The sequence below is a fragment of the Homo sapiens genome, chromosome 14 (genome assembly GCF_000001405.40).
Source record: "Homo sapiens chromosome 14, GRCh38.p14 Primary Assembly".
In the NCBI taxonomy this organism is placed as follows: Eukaryota; Metazoa; Chordata; class Mammalia; order Primates; family Hominidae; genus Homo; species Homo sapiens.
In genome coordinates, this window is record NC_000014.9 from 73,714,697 (window position 1) to 73,736,893 (window position 22,197).

Here is a 22,197-nt window from a genome sequence, read left to right on the forward strand (position 1 = left end):
GCATCCCTCATGGTGGACTTGTCTACTCGGGTTGCTCAGCCAGTCCACCCTGCACGTGAAAATACTCTCCTCAGAACCCTGGCTTCCCGTTGCCCCTGACCACACTGTGCACCCTGCATATTTCATCCCAATGAAGCCAAAATGTCGGAGTGCGCCATTTCTGTGTATTTGTGTGAGACACTGAGTTTAGACTTTTTCTTGTCTAAAATTTTGTAAAAATCTGTCTGTGTCTACTGAGTCATCTTTTAGCCAGGCAAACATTAGTGTATTATTTTCCTTTTCCTGGCTGGCATCATTGACAATAGGCTGCTAAAAGAGAATCCTTATGGTTCAAAAATGTCGAGTAATCTCCCTGCAAGCAAGACAAGGCGCACTTACATCAACCCCAGATGGTGAAAATCCCAAGAGAACAAAGCATTCAACTCTGAATTTTTAAAACCTTATTTAATAAAAGGTTTAAAGATACAGAAGAACATTCAAAAGTAAATAAGTTACATAGGTACATTACAATCACATCAGCAAGATTCTTTAGTGTATTAATTTTTTTCTTATAAAAAGCACACAAAAAATAAAATCTTCAGTCTCTATCACAACTGTACAGCAAAAGAGGTAATATTTATATATGTACACTATTTTAATATGTAACAGTCTTTTTAAAAAAGGATGCCACAGGCAGCAAACACACAAAAGGCAGTGTCTGATCATTTTTGTTTCAAAATAAAAGGAATATACTTATTTATATGCTATTAAAATATCTGTACAATAATTACAGACTGTCAAGGCTGTTCCTGTGCTCTGTCCCCTCCAACAAAGCCTTCAACTTAGAGACAAATGAGGAAAAAGTGAAACAGCTGCAAATTGTTAGAAGCAAATATTAACATAGCAAAATGTGGGGAGGACACAATTGTTTTATAAAAATATCCCTACTTCCTGTAAACCTATGGAGTTAGGCTTGCCAGTCTGATAATAAATACCGTCCCAGAAAAGCGAGCCCCAGTGAAAACAACTAAACAGGCTGAGGCTTGAGTATGTGTTGTATTCCTCCTTCATCTTAACATCTGGCACATGAGAAGAAAGAGGTTAGGTCACTGAGGCAGTTAAATATAGGTGATCCCTTTAGACATAAGCAGCAGAAGACCTTGGTGCCAGGGGTGGAGGCGCGGCAGAAGGGGTGGTATGTACCTTAGCTGTGAGGGGGGCTGCTGAAGGCATGGAGGACAGTAATGACGGCTGTGCCTCCTTGGATGGTGGAGACCTCAGAAATGGTCTGCAACACAGGCACTAGGTCAGTTTCCCGCCCTTAGCTGAATGCAGATGGATGCTGGGAGATGGATATGGTGAGATGGTGTGGGGAGGATGTTAGAAAGCTGGAGGTGTTTATCACTTCTCAAGGAGCTCTGAATATAGGGGGAAAAAAACAACAAAAAGACAAGCCCAGGGAGAAAGCACCATTAAGGATATACCTATGCCAGCTTCTATAGCTGCACCTGCTTTATTGGCAGGTCACTTGCCACAATTGCATCTGCCCTCTAAACTTTTTAATTTTCACACTGTATCCTAGACATGAATGCATAAAATACAGTGTCTGGCGGGATAATGCAGAGAGGTACCATCTTGATTTTCCCCAGTTACATTCACCTGGTCTGGTCTCTGTAAGCTTAGAAGAGTAGAATCACTTTATTTTTTAAAGACTTCCGGCCAGGCACGGTGGTTCACGCCTGTAATGCCAGCACTTTGGGAGGCCGAGGCGGGTGGACCACCTGAGGTCAGGAGTTCAAGACCAGCCTGGCCGACATGGCGAAACCCTGTCTCTACTAAAAAAAAAAATACAAAAAGATTAGCTGGGTGTGGTGGTGTGTGCCTATAATCCCAGCTACTCAGGAGGCTGAGGCAGGAGAATTCTTTTAACCCAAGAGGCGGAGGTTGCAGTGAGCCAAGATCACACCACTGCACTCCAGCCTGGGCGACAGAATGAGACTCTGTCTCAAAAAAAAAAAAAAAAAAAAAAAAAAATTTTTTTTCCAAGTACAAGATGTTACCACTGACAAAAGGGTCTCATATGAATGATGGAGGTTTCTGTTACCGTATGCCCATAAAGGGGCCTGAAACCAAATATGATTTGAATAGAAAAGACCTTGGGAAACATAAGTAGCACTTTGGGGCTAAGCTGCGAAGGCACTCGTATTGTACAAGTAATTTCGAAGAGAGCCTAAATTTGCTACCCCCCTGCTTCTACAGGGTATACCAGATTTTTGCTGTCTTGGGACACTGAGCTCATGGAAGCCTGTGGAGGAAACTAACCGGTAAGCTGGGGATCTAGGTAGTCATCCAAGAGTCTGGAGGGAGAAGAAATTTGTTACTTCCACAGCTGGGGTCCTGTAGAACCATACTAATGTACAAATGGATGCTGAAAAATACCTGCATAGTTTCAAAACAAAACTCCCTCTCCACTCCCAGTTACTGACATGATGCTTCTTGGCTATCTCATAAGGAGTAGCAGTATGAATACTTTCTGGCTCCTTCCTAATACGTTGACCTGTCATACGCGCATTCACTTAGAATTTCTTTTGCACAACTAAAGTTGAATAAGATCAGAAAAATAGCTGAGCCCCGCTATGGGACTGGAAGTGAAGGGGCCTCCAGAACCTCCTGGCCCTTTCACTTCACCCATGCCAAATATGGCTTCTTCAAGCCAGAATCCAGGCCCCATAAACCAAACTAGAATTCTGGCCTCTTGCCAACTCTTCCCTCAGGCAAAGCACAGCCAGAGAAGGGGCAGCAAGAACTGCCTTAATCTCCCTTGCTCTGTGTGGGTCTGGTGACACCCTCCACCTTCCCACGCTCTTTCAGTGTTGCTATCATTCCTATCAGCAAGAGCTTCCAGAGCAACCAGGTGAGGGACCTTAGGGCCTTGGGAATTTAGGGGGTGGGGATAGGGGATGTCAAGATGCCTCGTTTTGGGATAAATGCACTCGGGCCTCTGAAAAGCAGGAGGCCCCTGGTCCCTGAGAGGATGTTAAAAATTAAATACTAAGAATAAATAAATAGCTCCCAAATGACACGAGTCAAGGAATGAAGGCTCCTGTCCAATCGAGTTAGGAGACCTCTCCCTCCCAGGGAAGGATCCAGAAATCTCCAAAGTGCAGGCCTGGGGGCTGGGTTGTGGATATCGACACTGGGTAGGGTGCGGTGGGGTTAGGTGTAGCTGCTGAGGTCAGAGCAGAGGCAAGGAGGCTGGCCCCAGGAGGGGCAGGCTGAGCCTCTCCGGGACCTGCTCAAGGCGAAGCGCCCTTGGCAGCCTCCAGGACCCAAAGGTATTCAGCCAAAAAGGTGGGAAGCAGGAAGAGCCAGGCTTGTCAAAAGCTCTCTCGGGCCTAACCCTGCAGCTTCCAGCCTCCGTACAGCTCCCTTCCCTGCAGCAGGATGAGTGCTTTGGACAAGAACGCTAGCCCCTCCCCCAACGCTGAGAAAACTTTCTAGCCCTAGCAAGGCCGCCAGCAAGCAGCAAAGGGAGAGTACCTGCCGCGGCCTCCCTCCCAAGGAGGAGGTGGCCACTCAGGACACGGTCACGGGAGCAGCTCAGACAGGCCTAGAGACTGCAGGGACAGCACAGGTGTCAGGCTGCGCCCCTTCTCAGAGAAGCCCGCAGACTCCCTCCAAGAGTTTCTTTTTCTGGGGCTTGGGGCAGGGCCGTTGCAGCCTTCGAGGTCCTCTGGGGAGGAGAAATGCTGCTCCAAAGTGGGTGAGCTTGTGCTTGGCCGGCCACGGTGGCTTCCTGGAGGCCGAGGGGAGGAGGGGGAAGCAAATAAAGGGAAAAGACTGCGGGGCAGCAGAGCAGCAGAAATCGGAGTGTGAGAGGCGGTGGAGTCCCTCCCGAGGGGACCGGGACTCTCCCGGTCCAGGAAAGCACGAGGACAGCTTCCGACAGACCAAATGCAAAGAGAGCTGGATCCTGGAGCCCTTAACGCTGCTCCCAGGGCCTTCATAAATAAAAGAGCCGTTTATGTCATTGTCTCATTTGTTTCGCAGGGAAAAGTCCCTGCAATCCTCTCCTCACTCCCTCTTGAGATGCCAGGGTGTCTGCGGGCGCTGGCGGCGGTGCGGGAAGGGCCGAGGCCCAGGACTGGGCCAGCCTGGCTCCCGCGCTCAGCCCTTGTCGCCCGCACCGCTCTCCTCCCGCAGGGCCTGCTGGTGGGCGGCGGCGGCGGCAGCAGCGGCCTCTTTCTCCTTCAGCCTCAGCGCTGCAGCCTTCTTCTCCTGCTCTGCGTGGCTCTTCATATGCGCACTGCGGCTCTTCACCTTGTAAAACACCCTGCAGCCGGGTGGGGGTTGCTCAGAACCGGCCTAGCCCACCCGGGGGCCCCCAGCGCGGGTGCGCGAGGAGCCCCAGCCTTCACCTTCACCCCCACGCTGCACAGCCGCGGCCGGCCAGCTCGCGTCATTTTCCGAAAGCTGCCCCATGACGTCACAGCCCTAGAAACCCGCTGAGCCAACCAGAAACGAGGCGGACACCGCCTGTACCTCTTCCCCCTCCCCTCCACCCCACCCCCGCCCCCTCCGCGCACCAGCCCGCGGGGGTCCCAGCGGGGACAGCGCTGCCCACCTTACCTGCCACATTTTTTACAGGGGAAAGTGTTCTCCTGATTCTGGGTCTTACTGAATGTCTCTGTTTTTTTCTTCTTCTCTGAAAAAGGTAGTGCCCTTCGTGACTTCCCTGTCCCTTCCCTTGGCTTCTCCGAGGCCTGGCCACCGGCAGACCCAGGGGCGTTGGACTCGTGGCTCCGGAGGATGAGGATGTCACTGGCCTGAAGAAAATCAAACAAGGAGAGTTGAGTGATCTGAGCAAGCGCAGATCTGGAATTCTAAAATCGCAGGGAACCGGGGGCCTGAAAAGTCATATATATTCCTGCCAAACAGTCACCTAGCATGCACTTGGGTCCTTCCAGGGATATGACGACCATTGCCTCCTCCAACTCTGCATCTCTGGTCAGCTCTATCGTTTACAAAGTTGCTGCTAGAGTAATTCTGTGGGGCAGCCCGAGCTGCTAGAGGCCTTGATGCGCCTGACAGGGGATCTTGGTCTCTGGGTTAATGAAGCACCTACCTGTTGATGTTTTCTGTCATTTAGTCCGCTCATGCCCTGTTCTATAAATGAGATTCAGGCCCCTGTGATGGGCCAGATGCTAGGGACAAAGAGGTTGACACAGGCATCCCTGCCCTCAGAGCTGAGGATCTGGTGGAAGGGACAGATGCGCAGGTAGCTACTTCAGGACAGCGCACTGCAGGGACACCAAACAGGGCAAGGGCAGGGGTCAGAGTGCAGAGCAGAGGGAGCAGAGGTGACCTCGGCTGGGGAAGCCCCGGGTGGCCATCAGAAGTGGCACCCTCATGGGAAAGTTCACAAAAGTCAACAGAACTCTGTAGAGCGCTACACAGAGCACAGCTCTTGGTGCAGGTGGTCGAGGCTCAGAAGTGGGCACACAGCCGTGTGTTTACAGTTTATGGGAGCTCTGTAAGCATGAGTGTACTACACACATTCCTTTTTTTTTTTTTTTTTTTTGAGATGGAGTCTTGCTATGTCACCCAGGCTGGAGTGCAGTGGCATGATCTTGGCTCACTGCAACCTCCGCCTCCTCCACCTCCTGGGTTCAAGTGATTCTCCTGCCTCAGCCTCTGGAGTAGCTGGGATTACAGGCGTGCACCACCATGCCCAGCTAGTTTTTGTATTTTTAATAGAGATGAGGTTTCACCTTGTTGGCCAGGCTGGTCTCGACTCCTGACCTCAGGTGATCCACTCACCTTGGCCTCCCAAAGTGCTGGGATTACAGGTGTGAGCCACTGCGCCCGGCCTACTACATACATTTCTAAAAAAAAAGACTCTAAAAAAGCAGCAGCTCCCCAATAAACCCCTTCCCCTCCTTACCCCTTTCTGGGAGAACTCTCCCTGGCAAGGAGCAACTATGGCCAGTAGTCTTGTTTCTTGGCCTGTGATATGGTGGACAGAGCACTGCACTAGGAGTCCAAGGACCTGGGGCAAGTCACTTAGCATCTCTGAACTGCTTTCCCCCATCTGCAGAGTAGAGGTTAACTCTGCAGTGTGAGGAACTAATGAGATAATGGAAATGAAAGCACTTTGCAGAGATCATGCCTGAGGGCCTATGATTGTCATTCCCATGGTCTCAGCTCAGTCTCATTCTTGTCAGGGACTCTGGCTCTCTTAGGGGAGCCCTGTCTGCAAACCACCAATGCTCCCTCAGTGACCCACATACCTACTGGGTTTTCACAAAACCTTTTTCCCTCTGAATCTCAGATACAGAAGCAGTAGAGTATAAAAATTAATCGCAGACTCTGGATTCAGGCTGCCTACTAGCTGTGTTATCTTGGGCCACAATTTCCCCATCTATAAAATGGGAATAACAGTAATACCTAACCACATAGGGTAGTGAGGATTAAATGAGTTAACAGCACAAAGTACTTCACACATTTCCTGCTATTATGATTATAATGAGGATCACAGTCCTGCTCTACCCTCCCTCCCACGCCCCCAGGCCCAGCTCCACCCTGCTTGCCCTGGGCTCAGCCCATGGTGGTCACACTCACCGACTCATTGGCCTGTAGTGTCTGCGTGGCTTTGACTGCCGCTGCCCGCCTGCTGCGCTCTCGCCCCTCTTCCTGCTCCTCCTTCTCTTGGATCTCTGGCACCTCCTCCTCCCCCTCCTTCCTGGGCTCCTTCACCTCCCTCTTGGGCTCCAGCCTCTCTTCACTTGGGGACTCTCTTCTGGGAAGAGGCACCCTTGGGAACTTTTGGGAAGTCTATGGGGAACAAGAACAAGGGCAGTGAGCCTAGAGCTCTGTCTCACTGCTGTAGCACAGATTCTGACCCGGCCGGGGGGTTCACCAGCCCCAGCTAGTCCTGCTCGCCTGGCTGGCCCAGCATAGTCTTCTGTACTAGGACTCTGGACTCTGTCCCCATGGCATAGTAGCCATGGGGACAGAAGAGTCTCAAGCCCTGGGAGCACCTGAGAGAGAACGAGGGGCAAGGAGGGTACATACCAGTCACTCCCCATTGCCACCCATCCTCCTGGACAGATGACCAGGAGGCATCCTCGGCAATGATGTGGTGAGCCAGGCAGAAGCCTTGAGTTCCAATTCCAAACTATCTTTGTAATGCTTTCTGTAGCTCTACTACCTTCCTGCCTGCAAAATGGGCAGCAAACCACTCCCTGTCTTACCGTAGCATGTCACCAAGCGTGGATTTGCAATCCCAAAAATGATGCTAGGTGGATACATGGACATAGGATTAAGTAACCTTCCCTTTTAATTCTCTTTCAATCCTGATTATGCCAAGGACTCAGTCTCTGGTTGCTGCTAATGTGTCTTTTATACTTCTCTAGACTTGATAATCTCTTTAACAAAGCAAGGTCAGCCCTCAGTCTCAGCCTTGGCAGGTAACACAGCATCTAGCTAGAATTCAGTAATACTGGTTTTCACATATATTTTTACCAGTACCTTCTATTTATAGCACACAACCTTGGTTTTCTATTTATCACTGTGATATAAAACTTCCCTTCTGAGTAAAAAATGAGTTGACTTAAAGGAAAATATTAAGTAATGGCACAAGTAGTATATGAATATGACAAAAATTCTAATGGCGACACATGGTAGGATGCAGATATGGCAGAAATCAAAAAGGTGATACAAGAATGACTGAGGTTTGAGAAACAGTGTTAGAGGTCTGCTAAGCGGAGATAGGAAGATGATGCTGGTGTGAATCTTGTGGGAAAATTACCCTGTGTATCAACACAATGTATTATTACTATGACACCAGCAGTATAGAGAGGAGAACCCAGCGGTCCAGGGCTCCTTGCGGCTGTCAGGGACACTGTCTTCCTCAACCTGCCCTCTGCAGGCTCCTGGAGAGCTCGGGCTCGGGCTCCCAGCTCAGGCCTGGTCCCAGACCCAGCCCAGGCTCTATGCAGCTGAGGTTGGAAAAGGAGTCACCTTAATATCCACTTCAACCTCTTCCTGGGCCGACTTCTCATCGCTCGTATCCACATCCCCAAAGGTTAGAGTCCCATTGCGGCCGATTTTCACCTGCTTCTTGTAGGTGTAGTAGAACTCCACGCACTGGGCCACGGTCTTGGTCTGGATCTGGTTTGAAGTCAAAACTGAGGTCAGAACCCTCTGGTTTGGCTCATCTGCCTGTGGAGAATCCAGCCTTTCTCGTCCCTGCATCTTTCCCTTAACTTCAAGCCAAAATGAAACCCAGCCAACCCAGGCAATACAAGCATTTTTCCAATGCCTGCTCTGCAACAAACCACTGATCAATTAATCAATGCTTCAGCACTATTTAAAATAAGTAAATAAATAAAAAAAGCTATAAAGGACAATGTCGGAACCACTCGGGAGATGGCAATATGGATTGCATATCAGAGGGCATTACTGTATTTTTTTTTCTTTTTTTTGGAGACAGAGTCTCGCTCTGTCACTCAGGCTGGAGTGCAGTGACGCGATTTTGGCTCACTGCAACCTCCGCCTCCCAGGTTCAAATAATTCTCGTGCCTCAGCTTCCTGAGTAGCTGGGATTACAGGTGTGTGCCACCACAACCAGCTAGTTTTTTTTAAATATTTTTAGTAGACATGGGGTTTTGCCATGTTGGCCAGCCTGGTCTCAAACTCCTGGCCTCAGGAGTGATCCGTCTGCCTCTGCCTCCCAAAGTGCTGGAATCACAGGCGTGAGCTACCTCGCCTGGCCTGAATTATTTTATCAGGTTAAATTTCGTGGGCGTGCTAATGGTACTGTGGTTTTGTAGAATATCTTGGTTTTTAGGAGATACGTGCTGAAAGGTTTTAGTCATGTGACAGGATGACTGTAACTTACTTTTAATGATTAGCTGAATCAGAGAACAAGAGAGAGCTGTATATGTGTGTGTCTATGTTTAGACATAGAGAAAGAGAAAGCAAATATAGCCAATGTTAACGATTGCTAAATCTAAGTCCGGGGTGGATGGGTGTTCATTCTACTGTTCTTTCCATTTTCCTCTAAGTTTGAAATTTTTCAAACTGAAAAGTTGAGGGAAAAGGTCTGGGCACCATCTACATCCAAAGCCAGCCCTGACCTGGCAACACAGACGCTTTTCATTAATCCAGGCAAACAATTTCATTTCTCTCCAGGGAGCAGTGGCTGAGAAGTGAGCATACAGAAATGTCACAGTGTCCCCTGTCGGGGGAGGAACTCAAGGGAAACTCACAAGAAAGCCCTGGAAAACCTGAGGAGGAAGCGAAAGGCCTAAGTCTTCCTCCTGACTCTGCTACCACACAGCTATTCGAGCTTAGGCAAGTCACTCACTTTTCTAATTTCAGTTTTTTCATGTGTAAATAGCAAATGGGGTTAAGTAAGACTAGATGATCTCCAGGGACCTGCCTCTCAAGCTCTGAAATTCTAGCTCTCCCATTGCATAAATCTATTTGGCCACTGGGTTTAGTTTTTGGGCAACTTTCCCACACCCAGAGGCTGTTTCCTCTGACACCACCACACAGGCTCGCACATTGCTCAGCCACCGCTGGGCTGGGAGCTCCTGTCCAGAGAGGCCAGGGGTCAGTGTGGGCCCTTTGTGTCTGAGGAGGAAACAGACATGTTTCATCTCACAGAAATGGCCAAGTCACACATGTATTAATTAGGCCATTTACACATTTACTGTCAATTCTCTCTGACCCTTTGTTTGACTGACTAAAGGTCTGCTCATTTCATTAGGCATTAGGGGCGCCTCCGTGAATTTCACGGGCGTGTACTTCCCGTCAGTATTGCCCAATCAGGGAATAGCGTGTTACTAAAACACAGCAAAGGACTCCTCACAACAGGGCCCTTGTAGGGGAATTCATCATCAGCACTTTGTCTAGTCCCCAGGGCTGTTCCCAATACAATCTACAATCCCAAGAGGAAAGGGCATGCTCTTTTTAAAAACTCTTTTCCCTTGGCAGTCCACACAATTCTCTCTCCCCACAGCCCAGATTTTGTGAGACAGGGCTGGAAAGATGCAATTCCTTGGATTAGCAAAGCATCTGCTTTTCCAGAAGAATATGGAGAGAGGACAAGATAAATCTAGGGAATGTGGGCTTGAACAGCTGAGTTACTGGAAGGCAACTCTGGGTCAAAGGAAGTGGGCAGAGGCCCCCAGGTCAGCTCCGCAGGCACTTGCTGGCTCTCAGTGGCCTTCACCCCAGGGTGCCCTCCCCCTGCATCTTCCTCTGGGGAATGGCTCACCTCTACTTGCCACCCTCCTCCGCATCTTCCTCCTGCCTATTTTAAGTCTGATGCCCACTTAGGCCTCCTTCTGGATTGAGACCCCAGAGCTTGGCCACCCTACCCTGAAGTGAGGAAAGGATGCTTAGAACCAAAAGGGAAAAGAGACCTATCTTTCTCTTTCTTGTATTGTTTAGGAAATTCTCTCTGAGGCTACTCAGTAGCATTGACCTGACTGCTTTTTAAGAGGGATTGGTCACTGGCAGAGGGAGCCCCAAAGTCACACAGGCAGCTCCTGGCCCTCATTTGCCCTGAAACAGAGCCCAGCTCACCAGCTTCTGCACCAGGAAGAAATCCTTCTTGTAGATGGCAATGCCTTTGTTGAACAGCTTCCTCTCGGCCATCTTCCACTGGTCAGAGCCTATGGGGCAAAGAGGCAGCCAGGGAGTGAGGTGGGCAGGGCCCTGGCCACTGCAGGGCAATTTTGACAAGCAAAAAAGTGTGAGGCCATCCGCCCATGGTTTCTGCAGGCATCAGAGCCGGCTCCTCGTCCCACTTCCATGTGCCTCACAGCCTCGCTCCCTTGCTTGTGAAATGGAAACTAATATCACCTAGCTCACCAGCTGTGGTGAGGATTAAATAAGATAATGCATGTGAAACCCTTGGTGCTCTGCCTGGTGCAGATGAAATGTAGCACTAACATGCATGGAAAACATTGGCTGTTAGGATTATGTGACTCGGTCCATGTCCTTCTTAAAGTGACCAGAACAGGACATGCACTCCTGGGGCTAAGTTCCAGGTACCTGATGCCAATCTGGATGGCTCTCCATGGGTTCCTGTCCTTGTGGCCTGGGCTTTTTTGCCTGGATGGTCTCCCACCTGCCCACTCCCTTCTCCCCTCCCCTCCAGGGCACAGGAAACCCCTGGAGAGCTACCCCAGCTTTGGTGGCAGTTCCCTCACTCTGACTCTTGGCTTATCTACCCTCCTCCTCCCGCCCCCACCCAGGGCTGTGACTCAGCACTGAGCAGGGCCCCATGGATGCTGGAGACCTCTTGAGGCTCCAGGCACCATGCCCACCGCAGCCAGGCCCACCTGTGTAGTGATAAGTTGCCAGCGGATGGTTGTGGGGCCGCAGGGGCTTCTTCAGCAGCAGCTTATTCAGCGTTTCCTGGAGGGGAAGTGAGGGAAGGGTCAGGGCACTGACAGGGGTGTCGGTGGTGGACGGAGCATTCTAGGCCCTGATAAAATCCCGAGTAGGGTGGACACTTACTCTTGCCCCCTTAACTGCTGAGAGATAAGGGGTCCACTGGGGTGGTGAGATCACAGGGGGTGGGGCTGCCCAGAAAACAGACCTCAGGTCCTCTTAAGAGAGTCCATGGCCCCAAGGGAGGCAGCACTGCTGGAGAAGGCTCTCAGCAACCATCCAGTCTGAGTCCACTGACCCAGAATCAGGGATGGGAATGGACAGGAGGACACTGCACAGCAAAACCCGGGGTCTGAAACTAGGGCTCCCTTGGGTCAAGCCCCTACAGCCCCTTCCTTAGTCAGACCCTCCTACTGGCCTCAAATGTGCATGCCAGCAGCCATAGGTCCTGAGCAGCAGACATGGATCCAAGCCAGCCCCCACTGAGGGGCCCTCCCTCTGCTGGGGTTGCCTTCTCACCAGGATGTCTCCTCTGGATTCGTGCAGACAGTGCAGGGCCAGCTCCTGGTTGGTGCCAGCACCAGGGAAAATGCTGGAGCAGGCGGCTGTCAGCAGGTCTTCCACTGGATCCACAGGAGCATGAGGAGGGAGGGGAGGAAACCACGTTCAGGGCGGGGCTGGGCAGGGTGAGGCCTGGCCCACCCATGTGCCTGCCCTCACTTGCTGCCCCCAGGCCCCTCCTCACCTTGCCTCTGCTTCTCCCGGCTGCTCTCTAGGTCCTCCCATGGCTGCCACACCAAGTCAGCCTTGTGGGGATCTGCAGCTGCCAGGGCACGGTCCCTCATCAAGGGGATTTCTGCCTGGAACCGGGAGCCCACGTTGATCCGTCTAGAGGAGTGAAAAGGGCAGGAAGTGAGGCCTCACCTTGCGGGGACGGAGAACTTGATGATCCCTCAGGGTGGGAAGAAGATGAGGGGGAGCCGGCAGAGCAAGGCCTCAGCTAGGTGTAGGGAGTCTGGCTTCTAGGGGCTTGGGAGGACAGCCTGACCTGGCACCACCAGAAAGGCAAGGTCCAGAGGCTGGAGAGGGGAGAAGCAGCTGCAGGTTTACAGATGGGAAAGAGCCTCTGGACCCCCCTTTCAACTCTCCTAGAGATAAGTTCAAGCTGAGCCGGTCCTTGCCCTTCCCTGCAACTTCCACACAGAGGCAGGGCGGGGACAGCAAAGCCCAGGGCCACATACAGAAGCTCAAGGAGGCCCTCTCAGCCCTCTGCAGGCCCCACGGAACCCTCCTGTTGCTCCCAGGGCCCACCTGCACACACTGCACCAGTGTGGCCACCCACACCCCTCGGCCAGGGGCAGGGCTGCACTTACGGCTCGATGCTCACTGGGGTGGCCTCCCCCATCACAGAGAGGACAGGCGGGGTTACTTCAGCACTGTCTATGGGACAAAGAGCAGGTTGATAAATAGCACCCCCCTTTCAGCAAAGCACCCCCAATCCTAGTGGCTGCCCTGTATGTGCAAGAGTCACAGTGGTGACACACAGAGCTCACGCAGGGAACACAGGCACCTGAGTCCTGGCTCTGCAGCCTGTCACCTACGAAAACGCAGGCCCTTCACTAAATATTTGGGTGCCTCAGTTTTCACACTCACCAAAAGGGGCTATCACTACCTGTCTCCTACGGTTAATGTGAGAACTGGATAAAATAATGCACAGAGCCTGGCACTCGATAAAGATTATTATTACTGCTTCTACTACCAAAGCCATATCCTTGCCCCCAGAAGCTCCAACACTAACTCCAACATAAAGCTGTGGTTTTCTAGTAAAGAGACTGAAACTTTGAGCACACTAGGGAGGTGGTGAAGGGGATCGCTGTTTTATAGTTATCGTCTCACTTCCTCTTTGGATTTTCTGCCTCAGTTTCTCCCAAGCTAGTTTTTTTTTTGTTTTTGTTGTTGTTGTTGTTGCTTTTTGAGACAAAGTCTCACTCTGTCTCCGCCCAGGCTGGAGTGCAGTGGTGCGATCTCGGCTCAAGGAGTTGAACCTCCAAGTTCAAGCAATTCTCCTCCCTCAGCCTCCCAAGTAGCTGGAATTACAGGTGTGAGTCACCGTGCCCAGGCCCAAGTTGGTCTTCTTAAGGCCCCACATGATCAAAACACTCCTTTGCTTAAAAAAAAAAAAAAAAAAAAATCTTTGCTCTTTACTGACTCCCTCCTGCAATGTGAGATAAAACCTGCAACCCTCCCCTCAGGGTTCAAGGCGGTTCCGCTTCCATTTGTACCTCCCACCACCCATGTGCCTGGACCTGCATCCTAGCTGACTGCTTACCTCCCAACCCCTCACTCTCCCTGCACGGTCCCATCTACAGGCCTTTGCACCAGTCATTTCCTCCGCCTGGTGTGTCCTCCCTGCCCCCCGCCCTCCTCCATCGCTGCGGCTCAGCTCTGGCCCCACCCCTCTTGAATACAGTCCTCACCATCCCAGGCTAGCTGCTGGGGCTTTGCTCACTGGCTGCAGATCCCACACTACCGGGAACCTCTGTTTTTTCAACTCCAAGGCTTTCATGTCAACTCCCTAATGACCTTGCATTCTCTATAGAACAGACCATGGTGTCCTGTACATTCTTGGAGCCCTCACAGGACCCAGTACAAGGCCTTACGCCCGAGTGTTCGGTAGATACTCGTGGACAGACTGACCTCTCGCTGGCTGCCAGTCTGATCTCTACAATGACTTCCTCTTCCTACACAGCCTAGCCAGGGAGAAGCCTCCCCAGGAAGCAGTACAGAAGGCTGGCCAGCCTAGGGCAAACATTTTGCATCCACAGACACCAGGGGGCACCAGAGAGCTACACCATGGGTGAGGTCACAGTCAAAGGTTAATTGGCCAAAGGCATCTATAAGCTAGCTACTTCCACTTAATCCTCTCTACCACCCTAAGGGATTGGATTATCCCATTTTGCAGAGGAAATGGATCTCTTTATGGAGTGGGCAACATTTTTCAGCAGTACATCACCCCAAGCCAGCCCAATATTTCCAGAATGTCTGCTTTTGGCCAAAAAGACTGTTCGAGAGCCCCAGAGACTAGATCTGCCACAAAGGACTATGAGCAAACAGGATGGCCTGGGCATGATGTTCCAGCTTTATGTGTGCTAATGCACCTGAGCCTAGGAAGTGGCTATTAGGTTGAACCAAAGGAAACTACTATTTGTGAATCCAAAAATAGTTGAATATTGGCAGTTTCATCATCAACCAAGTAATACTAATATCCCCATCTTAATACTGAAAAAACTGAGGCCCAGGGAGTTGAAGTGACTTGCAAAAGTGGATGTAATAGTAAATGGTAGAATTGAGATTTGAATCCAAGCAGCTGGGCGGGCCCCCCACCCCTCCTTGTTGAACCAGGACAACCTCCTTCTCAATCTCAGAGAAGACAGAGCAGAGCTCCTTCTCCCAGAGTGTTCCAGCCCAATCCCCAGCAGCCCCACAGGCTGAGATGCCTCCCTGCCCAGTGCCCCAGCCCCGCTCCTGCCAGGGTCGCGGAGGGAGGTCACTCACTAGTCCGGAGCAGCGTGCGATGGGCACTCTTAGGCGTGATGGGAGGAGGGGCAGGGATGGTGCTGGTTGATATGATGGCATTGAAGTAGAGGCCAGAGCCTTCCCGCACAGGGCTGAGGATGGGGGGCGGCGTGTAGGGAGGTAGCTCAAAGCTCCGCTCAGAGGGGTGGTCAGCTAGGCGCACGGGAGAGCGCAGGTGGCTCTGGTATGGGGTGATGTTGGAGTAGACGGGAGGGGCGATGAAAGTGCCCGCCTTGGTGGGGATGATGAGGGGCTCGGGCCTGGGCCGCTGCTTTGGTTTCCGCACGGAAGGCTCCCCCTCCAACTTGACATTCATGTCCTCTGCCTGGAGAAGGAAAGAAAACAAGGACGGCTCAGCCCCCCGTGTCCCAGAGAAAGTAAAGTCTTAACCACAGCTTGCCAGTCTCACCTTTGGAACTTAGTCTGCCTACCACACCCACCAAGGCAAGCCTGAAAAAAGGAGCAGGTCCAAAAGCCCTTTTTATCATCTCCTCTAGGGCAGAAGTCAGCAAACTTTTTCTGTAAGGGGCCAGAGAGTAAATATTTTAGGCTTTGTGGGCCACATGTGATCTCTGTTACATATTCCTCTTCTTTCCCTTTTTCTTTTTAAAACTAACTGTATAAAATTGTAACACATTCTTAGCTCTGGATCTGGCCCCCAGACCACAGTTCCCCACCTCTGCTGTAAAGTGTGTGACAGGGCAGGAGAGTACAGTAGTTCAGGGCCCAGGCTCTGGAGCTGGACTTCTTGGGTTGGGACCTACCACCTTTATTGCCACTGAAAATTACTCAATCTTTCCGTGCATCTTCATAACATGGTGCCTACCTAGTAAGTGCCTACTTCATGGGGTAACCATGAGGACTGCATGAATTAATACAAGGAAATCACTGAGAACATTACCTGGTACCTCAGTAAATATTGGCTGTTATCACTACTTAAACTCCAGGCTCTGCGTTAGATGAAAGCTCCTACTGCGTGCTAAGACCTGAGCTGGACATGGGACTACAAAATGGAATGGACAAGGCCGGGCGTGGTAATCTCAGCACTTTGGGAGGTCGAGGTGGGGGGGAGGGGATCACTTGAGGTCAGGAGTTCGAGACCAGCCTGGCCAACATGGCAAAACCCTGCCTCTACTAAAACACAAAAATTAGCCGGGCATGGTGGCGGGTGCCTGTAATTTCAGCTACTCAGGAGGCTGAGGCATGAGAATCACTTGAACCCGGGAGGTGGAGGTTGCAGTGAGCCAAGGTCGTGCCACTGCACTCTAGCCTGGGCAACAGAACTGGATTCCGTCTCAAAAAACAAAAAGGAAAAAGAAAAAAAAATGGAATGGACAGTCCTTGTCCTTGCAGAACTTTTGTTCTCATAGTATTAATCCTACTAGGAAAGTCTAGCCCATGCACACTGCCAAAGGTTAGCCCTCCTACTTCTCCCTGCTAGGTACGCCTCATGGGCCTCTATCTAGAATAGAAAGCAGGACTATAAGAGAACAGAGGCCTTCCCTTGCTCGATTCCTATAATCTCAAAGGCAGAGAATGGAGCCCTACAGGGTGAGCAGCACCCAGTTTATCCCTCTGCGTACTCAGTACAACAGGTAAGGTTGGCCATGTTGACAGAGTGGGCCTTAAAATAATGAGCTGTCTCCCTGCCAAGGTTCTGGCTCCCATAAACACATTCCAGCAGAGGGCCCTGACTCCCTCTGAGGCTCTGGCCATGTCCTTCACCCATCTGTGCCCTCTTTTCCCTTCTACAAATTGGGATGAAATGAAACTGTTCGTTCTTCTTCCCTTAGGAAAACAATATGATTGCACAGAAAAAAAAAAAAATGCAGGAGCCAAAGGCCCCCCAAACTTTCTTGACAAGAAATCTAACAAAAAATCAGCTAGCTGTAATGATTTGTAATTTTATAATAAGGGATTTAAACTATTCTGAATATCTGACAAAAATAGTCATGTTCATTTTTTAGGTGTGGTAATGCTATTGAGATAATGTTGGAGAAGAAAGAGTCCTGACGTATTTCAGATACAAACTGAAGTATACACGGATGGAATGACACGATGTCTCAGGATGTGCTTCAAAATAACCCAGTGGCATGGAGAAGCAGAGGCACAGGTGAAACAAGATTGGCTATGTTTTGATAACTGTGAAATCTGGGTGATGGCTAAACACTGGCATTCATTATACTCCTCTCTACTTTTATGCATGAAAGAAAGTATCTGTAGTACAAAGAATAATAAATAATGAATGAAATAAACAAATAACAAAACACAAACCTCCCCCCAAAGCCTGGTGTAGTACAAGTACTCACAGGCAGGGATTGAGGAGATCCAAATTCTAGGGCTAGCTCTACCATTACTTGGCTGTATGACCTTAGGTCAGTCTCTTGTCTTTTCTGGACCTAGCTCCTCATCTATAAAATAGAGGCATTGAGCTGTGGAGCTGCTCAGGCTCCTTCCTGTCTCAGAACAAGCTGCCCAGGCCTCCAGCCTCTACCACAAACTTTTCCTCAACCAGAGAACAAGAACCCAGAGAGCAGAGACTGTGACGCTCCCCTGCCTATTAGAGGCATGCAGGCCAACTCTCCAGCTGAGAATAACCAGAAAATCTGGACTCGATGTGCAAAACACATTTCTGAAGATATCAGAGGACAAATAGGTTGGCAAAGAATTAAAGAGCCAAGATCTAGGTGAAAAAAAAGAAAGCTAAAGAGGTGAGCCCAGTATTTGAAGCTGCGTTTTCCCTAGAGGTGAATGCTATTACTGGAAAAGGCAACTGAGAGGCTGAGAAACTGAGAAGAGCTTTTAAGAAATTTAAGGAACTGACACAATAAAAACTGAGGTTTGTCCAGGTGTGGTGGCTCACGCCTGTAATCTCAGCACTTTGGGAGGCCAAGGTGGGTGGATCACCTGAAGTCAGGAGTTGGAGACCAGCCTGGCCAACATGGCAAAACCCCATCTCTACTAAAGATACAAAAATTGGCTGGGCATGGTGGTGGGCGCCTGTAATCCCAGCAACTCAGGAGGCTGAGGCAGAAGAATTCCTTGAACCCAGAAGACGGAGGTTGCAGTGAGTGGAGAACATGCCACTGCACTCTAGCCGGGGTGACACAGTGAGACTCCCTCTCAAAAAAAAAAAAAAAAAAAAAAAGGCTGGGTGCAGTGGCTCACGCCTATAATCCCAGCACTTTGGGAGGCTGAGGCAGGTGGATCGCCTGAGGTCAGGAGTTCGAGACCAGCCTGGCCAACATAGTGAAACCCCATCTCTACTAAAAATACAAAAAATTAGCTGGGTGTGGTGGTGGGCACCTGTAATCCCAGCTACTAAGGAGGCTGAGGCAGGAGAATTGCTTGAACCCAGGAGGCGGAGGTTGCAGTGAGCTGAGATTGAGCCATTGCACTCCGGCCTGAGCCACAAGGGCGAAACCCCGTCTCAAAAAAAAAAGAAAATAAAAAACAAAGCTGAAGTTTAGGGCTCGCCAAGGAAGGAGAGCTTGGCAAACCCCCAGGCTTTGGATTGGGACTCCAAAAAGGGCTGATACTCACTTTCATTCAGAATAAAGGTGAATCAGAAATAGGCTGGTCCTTATATGGAATAAAGCCTAGCTTCAAATCATCTCATTTCAACCTCTGATTAAAGTAATTCAGGGCCGGGTGAGGTGGCTTACACCTGTAATCCCAGCACTTTGGGAGGCCAAGGCAGGTGGATCACCTGAGGTCACGAATTCAAGACCAGCCAGGCCAACATGGTGAAACCCCATCTCTACTAAAAGTACAAAAAAATTAGCTGGCGTGGTGGCCTGCACCTGTAGTCCCAGCTACTCAGGAGGCTGAGGCAGAAGAATCGCTTGAACCTGGGAGGCGGAGGCTGCAGTGAGCTGAGATCATGCCACTGCACTCCAGCCTGCACAACAGAGTGAGACTCCATCTCAAACCCCTGCCCCCGCCCAAAAAACCCAGAAACAAAAACAAGAACTTTGCATTGTCCAGGAAGAGCTAAAAGTACTAACAGATTTCTAAAAGCCAAGGATGCATGTTTTCTTCTGTTTTTGTTTGAGACGAAGTCTCACTCTGTTGCCCAAGCTGGAGTGCAGTGGTACGATCTTGGCTTACTACAACCTCCACCTCCCAGGTTCAAGCGATTCTCTTGCCTCAGCTTCCTGAGTAGCTGGGATTACAGGCACACACCATCATGCCCGGCTAATTTTTATATTTTTAGTAGAGACGGGGTTTCACTATGTTGGCCAGGCTGGTCTTGAACTACTGGCCTTGTGATCCACCCGCCTTGGCCTTCCAAAGTGCTGAGATTACAGGCGTGAGCCAGGATACATGTTTTGTTTTGTGTGAGATGGAGTCTCGCTCTGTTGCCCAGGCTGGAGTGCAGTGGCATGATCTTGGCTCACTGCAACCTCTGCCTCCCGGGTTCAAGCGATTCTCCTGCCTCAGCCTCCCAAGTAGCTGGGATTACAGGTGCACACCACCACGCCCAGCTAATTTTTATATTTTTAGTAGAGACGGGGTTTCACCATGTTGGCCAGGATGGTCTCGATCTCTTGACCTCGTGATCCGCCCACCATGGCCTCCCAAAGTGCTGGGATTACAGACGTGAGCCACTGCCCCCGGCCCAGGATACATGTTTTAATATCTAGCAACTCTTCTTGACCAAAGAGCTAAGTCCTGATGTCATTAGGCATTCACTATACATAATAAGTTAAATTCTTTCCTATGCATTTAACAGGGTTTGGGTTTTTTGTTTTTGTTTTGTTTTGAAAAGGGGTCTCACTTTGTCACACAGGCTGGAGTGCAGTGGCACAATCACAGCTCCCTGCAGCCTTGGCCTCTTGGGCTCAAGCGATCCTCCCACCTCAGCCTCCTGAGAAACTGGGACTACAGGTGTGCACCACCACACCCAGCTAATCTTTTGTTGTTGTTGTTTTGTTTTTTGTTTTTTTGTAGAGATGGGGTCTCTCCTTGTGTTGCCCAGGCTGGTCTCGAACTCCTGGGCTCAAGCGATCCTCCTGCCTTGGCCCCCCCAAAGTGCTGTGATTGCAGGCATAACCCACTGCACCTGGCCTCCTGTGCATTTTTAAATGGTACTAGCTATGTCCCATCCTTCAGATAATGGAGGAAATAGTTGCTCAAATCCCTTTCTGTAGGGCTTAGTTCTCTTGAAGAAATACGGGTAAGAAGAATGCTGGGGTAATCATGAAAAGAGCAGTATGCAAGAATATAACTAATAAATTAACAAAATGGGGAAATGGGATAACAAATCAAATCAATCCAAAGGAGAACATGGGAAAGGCAAGATGGGAAACAGCTAACAGTAGATGGCAACTTTTAACCCAAGTATTTAAGTAATTACATTAAATGCAAACTGTATCAGTGGAATCTTAAGGTGAATTCAAAGAAACATAAAGTAGAATGGTGGTTACCAAGGGTTAGGGGATGGGGCGGGGACTGGGGAGATGCTGGTCAAACGAAATATAATTTCAGTTAGGAAAAAAGAATAAGTTCAGGAAATCTATTGTATAACATGATGACTATCATTAGTAACAGTGTATTATACACTTCAAAATAGCTAAAAGAGCAGATTTTAAATGTTCTCACCACAAAAAAATAAGATTTGAGGTAATGGGTATGTTAATTAGCTTGATTATATCAAAGCATCATGTTGTATGCCATAAATATGTATTCTTTTTATGTTAATTTTATTTTATTCTATTTTTGTACAAATGGGGTTTCGCCATGTTGGTCAGGCTGGTCTTGAACTGCTGGCCTCAAGTGATCCACCTGCCTTGGCTTCCCAAAGTGCTGGGATTACAGATGTGAGCCACTGTGCCCAGACTTTATGTTAATTTTTAAATAAATAGAAAGATATAAACTGTATCAATTCTCTAAAAGACTGGATAATAACAAATCCCAATGTATGCCACTTGAAAGATACACCTTAAGTAGAAGGATACAGAAAAGATAACAGTAAATGATGGGAGAAGATGCACCCTGCAGATTCTAACCAAAAGCAAGCAAGATATCAGACAAACCTGACTTTAAAAGACAAAAAGGGTGGATGATGAGAAATTACTTAATAGGTACAATGTGCATTATTTGGGGAATAGATATGGATACCCTGATAGCCCTGACTTCACCACTACACCATCTATGCGTGTTACAAAATCACACTTGTATCTCATAACTTTACTCATGTAAAGTAAGAATTGGCCGGGTGCGGTGGCCCACCTCTGCAATCCTAACACTTTGGGAGGCCAAGGCGGGCAGGTCACTTGAGGTCAGGAGTTCAAGACTAACCTGGCCAACATGGTGAAACCCCGCCTCTACTAAAAATACGAAAATTAGCCAGGCTTCGTGATGCATGCCTGTAATCCCAGCTACTAAGGAGGCTGAGGCAGGAGAATCTCTTGAACCCAGGAGGTTGCAGTGAGCTGAGATCTCGCCATTGCACTCCAGCCTGGAGGACAAGAGCGAAACTCTATCTCAAAAAAATAAAATAAAATAAATAAGAATAAAATGAGAATAAAAGGCAAAAAGAATATTTAAGATAAAAAGAAACTTCATAAAGTATCTAACCTAGTTCTAAATGAGCACCTAATAACATTGCATCAAAATGTATAAAACAAATGATGACAGAACCTAAAGAAAAAGTAGGCAAAACCTCAATCTTAGAAGGAGATGTCGGCCAGGCGCGGTGGCTCACACCTGTAATCCCAAAACTCTAGGAGGCTGAGGTGGGCGGATCACGAGGTCAGGAGATCGAGACCATCCTGGCTAACATGGTGAAACCCCATCTCTACTAAAAATACAAAAAATTAGCTGGGCGCGGTGGTGGGCGCCTATAGTCCCAGCTACTCGGGAGGCTGAGGCAGGAGAATGGTGTGAACCCAGGAGGCGGAGGTTGCAGTGAGCCGAGATTGCGCCACTACACTCCAGCCTGGGTGACAGAGCAAGACTCTGCCTCAGAAAAAAAAAAAAAGATGTCAAGATCTCAGTAGTGACAGTACAAGCAAACACCTCTCATTCCCAGCACCCAGCACGGGCCAAATCAGAATTTGCTGATCTGGAAAAAGAGATGTACACAACCTAGAATTCAATTCTAGGCAGTTTCAATTTCAAGTATAAAACTGTCTCATCCCCCATTAGGAGGGGGACATCTCCAAATGCCCCTTCTGGACGTCTGTCCAGAAGTTTGGTTTGGAAAATAAAAATAGTATCTCCACAGGT

The 22,197-nt window shown here is 49.4% G+C and overlaps 1 protein-coding gene across 8 annotated transcripts in view, besides 4 other annotated features; it reads right to left on the reverse strand.

Annotated features, from left to right (window-relative positions):
- Positions 84-153: an enhancer, noted in NCBI's record as "active region_8708". NCBI's record gives its function as "activates an Ori minimal core promoter by ATAC-STARR-seq in GM12878 lymphoblastoid cells {active_cell/tissue: GM12878}" and the evidence as "EXISTENCE:reporter gene assay evidence [ECO:0000049][PMID:35858748]".
- The window catches only part of MIDEAS (mitotic deacetylase associated SANT domain protein), a 75,164-nt gene continuing 53,392 nt past the window's right edge, over positions 426-22,197 (reverse strand). For 5 of the 8 annotated variants that reach the window (XM_005268206.1, XM_047431913.1, XM_047431914.1 and 2 more), the window contains 10 exons: positions 14,944-15,289; positions 12,762-12,828; positions 12,134-12,276; positions 11,908-12,011; positions 11,337-11,412; positions 10,576-10,664; positions 8,002-8,151; positions 6,601-6,813; positions 4,609-4,805; positions 426-4,312 (listed from right to left, as the gene is read on the reverse strand). In XM_005268206.1, the coding sequence (XP_005268263.1) occupies positions 4,147-4,312; positions 4,609-4,805; positions 6,601-6,813; positions 8,002-8,151; positions 10,576-10,664; positions 11,337-11,412; positions 11,908-12,011; positions 12,134-12,276; positions 12,762-12,828; positions 14,944-15,289 (1,551 nt within the window). In that variant the 3' untranslated portion in view covers positions 426-4,146. Of the gene's footprint in view, positions 4,806-6,600; positions 6,814-8,001; positions 8,152-10,575; positions 10,665-11,336; positions 11,413-11,907; positions 12,012-12,133; positions 12,277-12,761; positions 12,829-14,943; positions 15,484-22,197 lie in introns of those variants that run through there. The other 3 variants (NM_001043318.3, NM_194278.4, XM_047431915.1) reach the window with 2 other exon arrangements.
- Positions 4,119-4,729: an enhancer, noted in NCBI's record as "H3K27ac-H3K4me1 hESC enhancer chr14:74185518-74186128 (GRCh37/hg19 assembly coordinates)". NCBI's record gives its function as "activates a minimal SCP1, AML or CMV promoter by ChIP-STARR-seq in naive H9 embryonic stem cells {active_cell/tissue: H9 hESC(naive)}" and the evidence as "EXISTENCE:reporter gene assay evidence [ECO:0000049][PMID:30033119]".
- Positions 9,113-10,312: an enhancer, noted in NCBI's record as "BRD4-independent group 4 enhancer chr14:74190512-74191711 (GRCh37/hg19 assembly coordinates)". NCBI's record gives its function as "activates an origin of replication core promoter dependent on BRD2, P300/CBP, MED14 and CDK7 cofactors, and independent of BRD4, by STARR-seq in HCT116 cells {active_cell/tissue: HCT116}" and the evidence as "EXISTENCE:reporter gene assay evidence [ECO:0000049][PMID:35650434]".
- Positions 14,272-14,341: a silencer, noted in NCBI's record as "silent region_5915". NCBI's record gives its function as "represses an Ori minimal core promoter by ATAC-STARR-seq in GM12878 lymphoblastoid cells {active_cell/tissue: GM12878}" and the evidence as "EXISTENCE:reporter gene assay evidence [ECO:0000049][PMID:35858748]".